The 12203-nt window shown below is 44.6% G+C and overlaps 1 protein-coding gene across 2 annotated transcripts in view, besides 1 other annotated feature; it reads left to right on the top strand.

Annotated features, from left to right (window-relative positions):
- MAML3 (mastermind like transcriptional coactivator 3) overlaps positions 1–12203 on the top strand; it is a 437432-nt gene that overhangs the window by 311440 nt on the left and 113789 nt on the right. The window lies entirely within an intron of this gene.
- Positions 9500–10018: an enhancer, noted in NCBI's record as "H3K4me1 hESC enhancer chr4:140753881-140754399 (GRCh37/hg19 assembly coordinates)". NCBI's record gives its function as "activates a minimal SCP1, AML or CMV promoter by ChIP-STARR-seq in primed H9 embryonic stem cells {active_cell/tissue: H9 hESC(primed)}" and the evidence as "EXISTENCE:reporter gene assay evidence [ECO:0000049][PMID:30033119]".

The raw sequence follows: 12203 nt of genomic DNA, 5'->3' as shown, positions 1-12203 counted from the left end.
GGCCAGGAGTTCGAGCCTGACCAACACGGTGAAACCTCATCTCTACTAAAAACACAAAAATTAGCTGGGCGTGGTGGCACACACCTATAATCCCAGCTACTTGGGAGGCTGAGGCATGAGAATCACTTGAACCAGGAGGCGGAGGTTGCAGTGAGCCAAGATTGCACCACTGCACTCCAGCCTGGGTGGCAGAGCAAGATCCTGTCTCAAAACAAATAAAAATAAAAATAAAAATGCCTCCTTTCTAGGATTGTGGGAAGAATTAAACTAGATAATGAGTAGATGCTCATGAATGCAGTAAACGTGAGTTCTCTTCTCTTTCTGTTTTTAGATATGTGATACAGTCACTTACCCATTCCATAATTAGTTTCCTTGTATGTAAAATCAGGGGATAATAATGTCAACAAATAGTTATCTGCTTAACATTGTTTTATTAAAAAGCAGGTATGTTCGCATGAATAAAACAACCTTCCCTTTTAAACTCCTTGTTTGGCATCCTCAAACCTCTCAGCTTGTTTCAGATGGGAACTTCAACCCAATATCAGGTCACAGTGCCCAGGTTGATCTGTACTCCGTGTGGGCTCTGAAAGCATCACCCCTGCAGAGGCTGGAAGCCCTAGTCTTCCCAGGGGATGCCTTGTCTGCAGGTACTGCCCCCAGCCTGCAGTGAACTCTGGACCTTTTATTGATCCTGTGTGCATCTGGCTCCACTCTGATACCAGGAAGAATGGGGGTTGCTGGCCCTGGACTTGGTCCTGGACAAATAAATGTGTTTGTCAAAGCCCTTTCCTGACATCGGTTGTCTCTAGCCCAGGTGGCACTGTGGAGGGTAATTAGTTCTCTTTATTAGAGGGAACATCAGGAAGCTCTGCGCTGCTCACCGTGGACACATGTAAAAAGATTTTGTTAATGCAGCTGTTACTTGCCTTTTCATTATGCTAATGGGCAGCCTGTAAGAAATGTAACTTCCTGTCACTGGCACCAAGCAACACCTATCAGACAAAGCATTGTTTCTTCTCACTGTTGATAAGTGTGACTTGTGGGGACCAGCGATAGGATGCTCATTTTTATCTGCTAAGTGCACAGCGCTTGTAAAAAACCAGCAGTGGCCTTGTTACCACTTGACGTGACACTAGGTTTAGCTGTTTACATTGACACACTGCTGCACCCTTTTAGAGCTGCAGCCAGGGGTCAGATTCATTAGAAAGCGTCAGCGCCGATAGTGAAGCAGCATCTGGTGGGATTCTCTCTGCTCTCCTGTTGGAAGCAGCAAGGCAAGGCGCTTGCATCTTGAAATGGGTGATTTTTAAATCTTTTCTTCGTTTGATTATTTGAGAACCCCTGTTTGTTCCTTGACCCTACATGAAGAAGATGAGAGAGAAAGAGCTGGACATAGCATTCACCCCAGTGATGAAGAATGGGAATGTTGGGGCCTGCTGTTTGTTGCTTTTCTTTTTGCTGATGTGTGGCTCTTCGTTGCCCAAAAGGTCTGCAGAGAGGGAGTTAAATGCATGTGTTTTTCTTGCACAGCAGCAAGGCTAAAATGTGGAAGTAAGCTAAGTAAACCTTTATAATTAGTCCTTTATGTCTTTCTCCTTTTGCCTCCCTATGTATGAGTATTGCCTTGATAAATTTGGTGACCATACTTCCCTTATAATGCTGGAAGCCACATATCTTTTGGTTCTATGTTGTTATCCCTTTAGTCATTTAGGATATGGAGGATGATCACCCAGAATCCTTGGTTCATTTTGCAATCACTGTGACCAGATGAGTTGCTGATAACCTAGAGCAGCCAGAGTGCTTGTTGCATTAAGAGCCAGAGCCCAGGCCTTCACTTTTGCCACATGTGACTCTATGTCCATGAAACTATGTGCAGGACAATGCACACGGCAATTGAGAAGGTTCTGGAGACCTTTCATAATGTTGTGTGAGGGCTCGCTGGCCACCATGGCAGAGAGAGCAACATCCTCCTTACCTTCAGAAACCTCTGGCACCACCAGCATTGCTGACATATCTCACGCCCTGTCACAGCTTCTTAGTTCAACAGGCTGCAAAAGCTCCTCCCCACCTCCACCTGTTCATAAGGATGTAAGGATAATTAGTGCATTTTCTCAAGTTCAATGATACACTCATTTTGAAAAGCAACTACCGCATTATCCTGCCCTTGCCCTTGGGAACTGGATCCCTTCATTTGTCGAGAATACCCCTTGCCAGGCCTTTTCATCTAGCCGCTGCTCACACTGCACCGGGGCTTCTGTCTGGGTGATTCTTGCTGGGTCATGCCAGGAGGTATTTGGCATTTCCCTAAAGCCCATCATGTGAAGTAAGAGTACCACCGAATCACGAAGCTCTGAGAAGTTTTGTTAAGATCAGTCATGGCTTGATCAGTCCAAGCATTAGGATACCTAGTTTGCAAGTCCAGTGTTGTCCACCTGGCCTGGAATTTACCAACTGCTCTGTGGAGAGCTCTCATCCCACTTATGAACTGTGCTGCTTATATCTGCACTTTCTTTTTCTGTATGCCCAGTACGTAGCTATGAAGGGAGGATCCCAGGGGCCAGAAGCCAGGGGACCATGTAGTGTCTTAGTGTGGTTTATATGTCATTGCAGTCTCCATCCAGGTCTTTTCCAGATCCTGGGATGCTGCCAAGAATTTCCATGCACAGGAAGACAGAGATGGTCATGGTGATATACAGACTTATACAGAAGACGTTTTTCTATCTTTGGGGGGCTTTTGACCCCTTTCCACTCACTTGAATTCACACAGAATAATTATATGCTCTTCTGAGGGCTTACTGCTGGGTCAGAAAAGCAGGGAGAGTTGCTTTTGGATAGTAATCCCCACTGCTGGCCACCAGCAGCTGCAGCCTCCACAGCAGCTGCTTCCCCTCGCCTCCATGCCACCATCTCCCCTTCATATCCACTATCTCCTTGTCTCTCTGCAGGTCATTTATAATCAGCAGTCATGGCGTACAGGCCTCATTAGTGATATAGCCATTCCTTCAGTGCTTCAGAAATAATCATTTAGAAAAAAATGCACGGTTTCCATCCCTTGAGAGCCCATGAGTGATGAATTTATTTCAGTTTGGCTGGCTTGGCTGTCTTGCTCAGCCTTATTTCCATATTTATTTCAACAAACAATGTAGGGTGGGAACAAGAAAACACATGCTGGGTGTACACACACGCTGCATATCTGCTCCCTAAGTTGATTCCTCTTGGGGAAGGATGAAAAGGAATGCCAACGAAAGAACCCTCCATTAAAAAAAAAAAAAAAATCTGTTGGACTTGGATGGGGTGCTGTATAGCAGAAGATGAGCTAGTTCACGATGATTTGTATTTGAGAAGGTGTGGGTAACATGGCAAAAGCAATTGATCCTTAGCCCCCCATTCTGGTAGTGGTGTTTCAAGAGTACTTTTGCCCCTCAACCCCCTTGCTCCCGGAGGATCTGATTTATGTCATGGTGGACAGCAATGGACTTTTGATGCCAACAGAGGATCCGGTGCTGCTGTCTGAATCTTTCACCTAGACCTTGTTCCTTGTGATGAGTGGGGAGGGGCGTGTGTGGGGCTCACAGGCTGCTCTGATGAGGAATGATGCCAGCGCGTTCTTGATGGCAAGTGGTGTCCATGAATCAGACTTGCAGATGTGCAAGCCACCTGGCTTCAAGCAGTCAGCTCTCTTAAGACATTTAAGCTTGACTGAGGATTTGGCTAAGGCTTGGCACTTAGCCCACCTGAATTTTTTAGGGTAAATGTTTTCAAGTGACTTCAGCCAAGGGTCAGAAGAGAAGATCTCAGAAATCTGTTTAGAACTATGTTGCTGACACTATGTCAAGGGGCCAAGCAAACCACAACACCATTGTTAACCTCACCATTACAAATCAAGGGAAGGGAGGAGGACACCACATCTTGATTCTGTGGGGATGCTTTGAAAGTGGCAGTGCGTGTTTTATAGTAACAATAATAATAATAAAAGTTTTTCTATTCTAGGATGAAAGGAAATAGAACATGCAGAACAGTATCTTGTCCCAAACATAGCAGAACACCATTTTTCCTATGGAAAACTTGGACAGTGCAACCAATTTACCAGAGAAAGAATGGAAAAAGCATCTTAGAAGAACCAGGAATAAAAATTTTTGATTCAGGGACCTGAACAGCAACACTTTCAGAATCTCTTGTTCTCAGAAATGCATTTTACTAAGCTTAAGATTCCTTTTTCTAAGAAAAAATGGCTTGCTTTCCTCAAACTAAACAAAGCAGGGAGGCTCAGGGGTGAAGAAAAAGATGAATTGAGCAATATCTAATGGATACGCTCCTCCCCAAAATTAGACTCCAAATGATATGAGACAGAGGGAATATCTCAAGGGTAGGGAATCATCTGTAAGATAGGGCAATACTGCCGAAATGCAGTATTTTCAAGGAAATAAACCCCAAAATAAAGCTAAAAATCTAGTGCCTGGTCGAAAATTAACTGTAGATCCACTTACATGCTAATATCACAATTAAGAGTAGCCTTGGGACCAAATGAAAATCTCCTTTATTAACAGAGGGAGCCTTGTTAGAACAGCACATACAAGGTGGCCTCCAGCTACCTTGTGTCATCCTATAATGGTGATCTGGGAAAACATGTCCCAACCCAGGCTTGGCCGATGTACCCATGCTCTCGCTGGGAGCCTCATCTAACATGAATAGATCTCCCAGCCAGCTTATGCTCAAGCCTTTCCATCTAAGCAGACAGTACAGAATGACTCTTATTTACCCAGCCAAAAAGATTTTCATTATCCATATAAATATATATGTATATATTTTTTTCTTTTCTTTTTTTGAGACCGAGTCTCACTCTGTAGCACAGGCTGGAGTGCAGTGGCGTGATCTCGGCTCACTGCAAACTCCAACTCCCAGGTTCAAGCAATTCTCCTACCTCAGCCTCCCAAGTAACTGGGATTACAGGCATGCGCCACCATGCCCAGCTAATTTTTGTATTTTTAGTAGAGACAGGGCTTCACCATGTTGGCCAGTCTGCTCTTGAACTCCTGACCTCAGGTGATCCGCCTGCCTCGGCCTCCCACAGTGCTGGGATTACGGGCATGAGCCACAGTGCCTGGCCTATCCTTATAATAGTATTATAAAATATTCCTGTGATGTAGGAGAAAGTGCCTTTCTTTGCCTTATCTGATTGCTGAACTGTGCTCTTGCGGTAAAAGTGATTTTGTTTTGTTTGTTTGTGTGTTTGTTTGTTTGGTTTTGGAGATGGAGTCTTGCTGTGTCACCCAGGCTAGAGTGCAGTGGCATGATCTCAGCTCACTGCAAGGTCCACTTCCCGGGTTCATGCCATTCTCCTGCCTCAGCCTCCCAAGTAGCTGGGACTACAGGCGCCCACCACCAGGCCCAGCTAATTTTTTTTGTATTTTTAGTAAAGACAGGGTTTCACCGTGTTAGCCAGGATGGTCTCGATCTCCTGACCTCGTGATCCGCCCGTCTCGGCCTCCCAAAGTGCTGGGATTACAGGTGTGAGCCACCACGCCGGCCAGGAAAAGTGATTTTGATAGGGATGGTGTTGGGCTTAGTATTGGAGTTAGTAATTCTTTTTTTTTCTTTTCTTTTCTTTTTTTTTTTTTTTTTGAGACAGAGTTTCATTCTTGTTGCCCAGGCTGGAGTGCAATGGCATGATCTCAGCTCACAGCAACATCCACCTCCCAGGTTCAAGTGATTCTTCAGCCCCAGCCTCCTGAGTAGCTGGGATTGCAGGCATGCACCACCAAGCCCGGCTAATTTTGTATTTTTAGTAGAGATGGGGTTTCTCCATGTTGGTTAGGCTGGTCTCAAACTCCCAACCTCAGGTGATCTGCCCTCCTTGGCCTCCCAAAGTGCTGGGATTACAGGCTTCAGCCACTGCACCCGACCAGAGGTAGTAATTCTTTAGCAAATTAAAGATCTGAAAGTTTCTCATACTGTCTAAGAGAAATAGCCAAATAGCAGTAGCAACTTAGTAAGTGTGAATGATGCTGTATTCCACCAAGAACAACATAGGCCCGGGCTCTCCAGCATTCCTACATCTCTGGAGAAGGGCACAAGAGCCAGGAAGCCAGAAAGGCCCCTCGCCATTCTATCAAAGGAGGGCTCCAGCACTTGGCTAACCTCCTGGGGCTGGCTTGCTGGAACTGTGGTATGCCATTTTTAATTGGTAATTTGACCTCCCCAAAACATGGCATTAAGACAGCAGAAGTTGATAATTGAATAAAGAGGATCATCATTGTTGTTTTGAATTGGAAATAGTTCTCATAACAACCCTCTGAGGGTATTTCCTGTCACCACCCTACCTCCTGCCCCAGTAATCCTATACTGCAGAGGTCTGTGATTTTTATGGCATTGATGCTTTTCTCCCAATTGCCCCTTCTAGCTTTTTTCATTTACTGATGAGCTGGCAGACGATAGGCGGGTGAAACAGACAAATTGATTGAGGAGCTGAAATGTAGATGTGTGTCTGGTCTCTATAACACCTTTGGGGTCCTGTGTGAATTTACCTGTTTATTTATGTGTCTGTTATTTTGGTTCACTTTATGATGTAGTTTATCTATAGAAACTGCCGTGAAAGTGAAGAGACAGAATGGTGAGGTTCAATATCTTCTTACTGGCATTTCAGCCCTAGAGGGCCAAGGGTCACATGATCTACCACCTTTACTGGCTTCCCTGATAAGGTTCTGTGTCATCCGCTGTCTCCTGCACAGTCCCATTGGCCCCCTGTGGTGCAGTCCCCAGACCCCTCACCAGGCACCTTCATGAGTAAGCATCAAAATGTATTCCTGAGTCTCAGCTCCCTGAATTATAATGTTATTCTCTTTTCCATTATATAGATGGAATTTTTCCCATCATCTTTGCGTTTAAATTGACTTCCTTTGAGCCACAATCAGTTCCTTCATGAAGATAACATTTGACTCTTCTGTCATTGTATGAAGAAAATTAAGGCCTTCTTTGGAAAAGTTATATGAAACTTTGGGGGACATGCAGCAGGATGCAACAGAAAAAACTCTCAAGTCAAAGACCTCACCCTACCTAGTTACTCATTTAGCCTCAATGACCATAGGCCACCGAGTAAAAATAGGGCAGGTCCCCGTTGATAAATTGGAGAAGTCAAATTAGATCATCTCTAGTCTCCTTTCAGCCTTAAAACTATTTTTCCAGTCTGTATAGTATTATCATGGGTATCTGTATATTAGGACCCACACCAGAATGGACTTTTAACCTCAGTTATGGACTAGTCTGTTTTCTGGTTCATAGAAAGCCATAGGTTCAGAGTCTGGAAGGAATATAACAAGAACTGAAACAAAATCAGCCTCGGGACGCCTCAAATAATAAATGAAAGCTGAGCTCACATGTCTTTAGTCAGTCAGCAGTGTTCATTGAACACTTAGAATTTGTAGCATAATATCAGGCGCCCTGAGGCATAAACTAAAACTCATTCACTACCAACTTGGGACAGAAGTATAAACATGCATGCAACCAAGCGTGCTTATGCACACTGCTGACACACAGGGCCATCCCTGAGCTGGGATGAAGGGGTCACCTCTCTTCAGCCCCTGCTCTTAGTGAAAACATTTACTTTAGTTAAACTTTAGTTCATTCTAGTTAAATCCAAAACACTATGCAAGAACACACATCAGAAGTGGGGAGATCCCCCTTGTCTTGTTCCCCTCTCCCTATAAGTGGGATTTTTGCCAGAGCTGCTTGTTTCCTCAGCCAACAGGAAACATATTAGTACAACATGAATGAAAGTCCAGAACTCTTTTAAGATTACTTTTCCCTTTGCAGTGATCAAAATTAACTTCTTGGAGTAAACATAAAATCAGGGCCTATTTCACGGTTCATACCCTCTCTCTAACTAGACTTAACCCTCCCTCCCCCTTCTCCCAGAAAGGGGTAGTCACCCTTTGATCAATTTTATGACATCTCCGTGGTTGATACAGAGTTGTTAAAATTATTTTGACTCAAAATTAGTAAAATTCCTAGAGCAATTAAATGCACTGCTTCATGTTGGAGGAACTGTGCTATATTCCAACCTTTCCCCACATTAGCCCAACCTAATGAGGATTGGGCAGGTGTGTGTGAGGGAGGGTATTCTCCAGGGAACCATCAGCATCAGCATCACTTTGGAACTTGTTAGAAATGCAAAGCTCAGGCCCTAGCCCAGACCTACTGAATTGGAATCTGCGTTTGCCAGCTCCCAGTGACTGCAACGCACCTTCAAGAAGCGCTGTCTTACAGAGGGCGCTGGCCGGCCACGGGGATCCCCAGGCCACATACAGAAGTGGCCCAGTCTACGTGCTACCGCCACTAAACTGCCTAGTGGCTGGTGCAAAGCTACTGGGTAACCCCTCCCTCCAGAGAGCTGCCAGATCTTTCAGGCCCACAGTTGTGATCCACAGAATACAGTATTGTATTGTTGCAAGAGGAAGAAAGATCAATGTTTAACCACAGTAGCACACCACTATATCATCAGTTGTGTCTAGTATAGATTCCAACAGAAGTGTGTGAGTCCTCTAGCAGAAAGCTTTTGTGTAGGAATGAAGATAAGTTTCCTATTAAAACCCACGCTGGATTGAAGTCTCATTTCAAAATGGCAGCGTTCTCTATTTGCCATTTCTATTTCCCTTGTGCCTGTCACAAAGTTACATAAGTGATTTTGGGTTTTTGTTAGGATAAAGTTTTAATGTCAACTGAAAGCAGGGGGAGCATCCCCCTGCCCCCAACCTGATTTTTCCCCTTCTTTCACTGGTTTTTCCTCTTAAAGATCCCAAATTTCTTCCCACTCTTCAGGAAGCCCCACCCCCAGCCTAAGCACAATCTATTAAAGAGGCTTTCTGCTAATTCAGGTTCCCGTGTGAGAAGGGATACTGTGATTCATTCTTCTGAAGAGCTGGTGGAGAGCCCCCACCCCCATCCCATCAGTAGCCCCTGGGGACTGAAGCAAATGGGCAAGTCGGTCTATCCCCAAGCCACAACCCCTGCGTAATGATGATGGAGACCTTCAAGCGGCCACCCCTTGGCACTGCAGCCTTTGAATAACAAGGAAAAGCAACAGCTGTGAGAATAAATTCTTGCATGGTAAACTTAGGGCCTCGAACTCAGAGTCGAAGCACTGTATTTCTCATCATATTCCTTCCACTAGGGTTGTGATGATCTTGCCAGAAAGTGTTGTTTCTCGGTTTTCTCCTGTCTTTTCTCTTTCCCCTTGGCTGCCCCCCTTCTTCCTCCCACTCTAGCCTCCACGCCTCTGCTCTCCCACTCCCCAAATCGAACATGTACAGATTTTACGGTTCACTGGAGAATAAGTGGCTGTCATTTCACAGACGGGCCAGGATGTAATTAGCCACAATGCATTGGAGTAATGGAACAGATGTCTCTTTGTAAACTGAGTTTGCCGCCGAGCACCGCGTGTGTGTGACCTGCCGACTGCTCTAGGCGCTTCCACGCGGCCCCCTCCCCCTGTCTTTCTCTGTCTTCCCCAGCCCCTCTCTGGGTTCCCGGGCCAGAGGCTGGGCTAACTTGCGTGTTTGTGTGTTGACTGTTTTTGTTTTTCCTCTGCTTCCCTGGTTGGCTCACTTCTGCTGCTAAGAAGCTGCTGGTGACGTGACGAAGAGTGAGGGAGCTGAACCTCCGTTTATCGATGTAGTCATTCACAACAGAAAAGGTGATACCCCTCTTATGAGATAATTGGTAGTTTCAAGTTGCACTTATTAGTGGATGATAATACACCAGCAAAATCATAAATTACTGTTATGCTCTCTGGCCTGTTGTTTTTTCTTAACTAGAAATAAAGGAGATGCGTCTCCCTTCTTCCAAGGTTATTATTTAAAATTTAAGAGGAAGAATCCAGGCTGATCACTGCGGATGATGTGGACAAATATCAGATACTTAAACTGACTGCCTAATAACCATTGAGTTCATTTGTTTATACAGATTATGTGCTCGTATGGACCTCTGCCTTTCTGCACATTTCACTTTAAATATGAAGGTCATACCTTAAAAAAATTTTTTTTAAGTAATGACTTTTGTACATCCTTACTTTTGAGGCTGAGGATTTAGTAAGTAGGCACCAGGCACAATTCCTGTTGTTGGGTCAATCCCAGAGGAAAGTGTGGGTAACACAAGGTCCATCTGCAGGGGAAGAACGAAGTTGGGAAGAAACAGTGAATAAAGGTGGACGGTGCTTCACTTTTTATAGCTTCTCTTCCCACCCTAGGGGAATGAGTGGTACGGATGGTAAATACACCCAACTCCTCCCTCAAGCTTCCTGCACATTTGAGGGAAACAATCCTTATTAAAATATGGGAGGGGCCAGGTGCGGTGGCTCACGTTTGTAATTCCAGCACTTTGGGAGGCTGAGGCAGGTGGATCACCTGAGGTCAGGACTTCAAGACCAGCCTAGGCAACATCGCAAAACCCTGTCTACTAAAAATAAAAATAAAAAAAAAAATAGCTGGGCGTAGTGGCACACGCCTGTAATCTTAGCTACTTGGCAGGTTGAGGCATGAGAATCACTTGAACCCGGGAGGTGGAGGTTGTAGGGAGCCAAGGTGGCCCCACCGCACTCCAGCCTGAGTAACAGAGAAAGACTCTGTCTCAAAAAAAAAAAAAAAAAAAAAAAAAAAAGGGGCTGGGCATGATGGCTCACGCCTGTAATCCCAGCACTTTGGGAGGCTGAGGTGGGTGGATCACGAAGTCAGGAGATCGAGACCATCCTGGCTAACATGGTGAAACCCCGTCTCTACTAAAAATACAAAAAAATTAGCCGGGCGTGGTGGCGGGTGCCTGTAATCCCAACTACTTGGGAGGCTGAGGCAGGAGAATCGCTTGAACCTGGGAGGCGGAGGTTGCAGTGAGCTGAGATCGCACCACTGCACTCTGGCCTGGGTGACAGAGCAAGACTCCGTCTCAAAAAAAAAAAAAAGAGTGAGAGGGATCAACTCCCTGGAATAGTGCTGGCCTTTGTTCCTCAGGATATCATGTTCGGTTTAATTGATTTTTTTTCTCCTGGCCACACGCCCAGGATCTTGGCTTTGGGTACTCATAGGAGAAGGCGATCCCATGCTCGGGTCTAAGGTTAAGCTCCGGTGTGTGCATATATTTGGTTCCTTTGTCAGGTGAGAAATACTCTTCTGGTTCTCAGCTTGATCACTAGAGTCAGCAAGACCACACCCTCTTGGTCAGGGATAGAATATCTTGCTAGGCCTTTATCAATAAACAGACAGTGTTGTATTTATCATATGGGAAAACTAACTGCAATAAGAGAGTCTAATATTAAAGTCTCTAACTGGGATCTTGGGTTTGAGTTTGGCACTTGGTGTCAGTGAATCTTCAAATGTTTTCTTAATTTAGATTTTTTTATTTTAAGATTTTAGGTGTTATTTTTCCCAAAAAAGATCCAAGGGTCTTCATTTGGGTTTTTAAAAATCATTAAAAGTTTAAAAACAGCAGTCTAATGTTAATTTTTACCCTGAGGATTTTATGATAAATAATAGGTGGAAATAGATCTCTGGTGGATGAAATTGATACTGATACTGGTTTAGCAACAAGTAATTGGAAACCTCCTCACCATGACCTCATTGATTGTCCCTTGATTATGAGAAAGTTGAAACCTCTTCTATTCTCTGAGGGGTTTTGGTGGCCATGATTGTGTCATTGATACAAATTTGGGAGAGAAAATGTCTCATTTTTTACTGATCTCCTTATCGCCAGAATGTGGAGTACCCAATATGCCCTAAGCACTCTATCAATATTGCTTTTTTTGTTTGGGTTTCATAACTCAAAGGAATCCTTTGTATCCTCAAAGTACATTATAACCTCCATTGCTAGTATAACTATGTCTGAATGATTTCTGCTTCCTAATTAATGCCAAATTGGGATCACTCCCCAATTTTGTAAGAGGCCGGTGATTGTTCATGGGATCATTGGCATGCCTTCTTGAGGAAAGGAGAAATAATAGGATCGTGTCTTATTTTTTTTAATCCTCCTTAAAAATTAACACAGTGTAGGCCAGGCGCAGTGGCTCACGCCTGTAATCCCAGCACTTTGGGAGGCCGAGGCGGGCGGATCACGAGGTCAGGAGATCGACATCATCCTGGCTAACACAGTGAAACCCCGTCTCTACTAAAAATATAAAAAATTAGCATGGCGTGGTGGCGGGCACCTGTAGTCCCAGCTAC

Source organism: Homo sapiens, chromosome 4 (assembly GCF_000001405.40).
Source record: "Homo sapiens chromosome 4, GRCh38.p14 Primary Assembly".
NCBI classification, from domain to species: domain Eukaryota; kingdom Metazoa; phylum Chordata; class Mammalia; order Primates; family Hominidae; genus Homo; species Homo sapiens.
The sequence above is the reverse complement of the archived record's forward strand: the minus strand, read 5'-3'. Positions and strand labels throughout refer to the sequence as shown.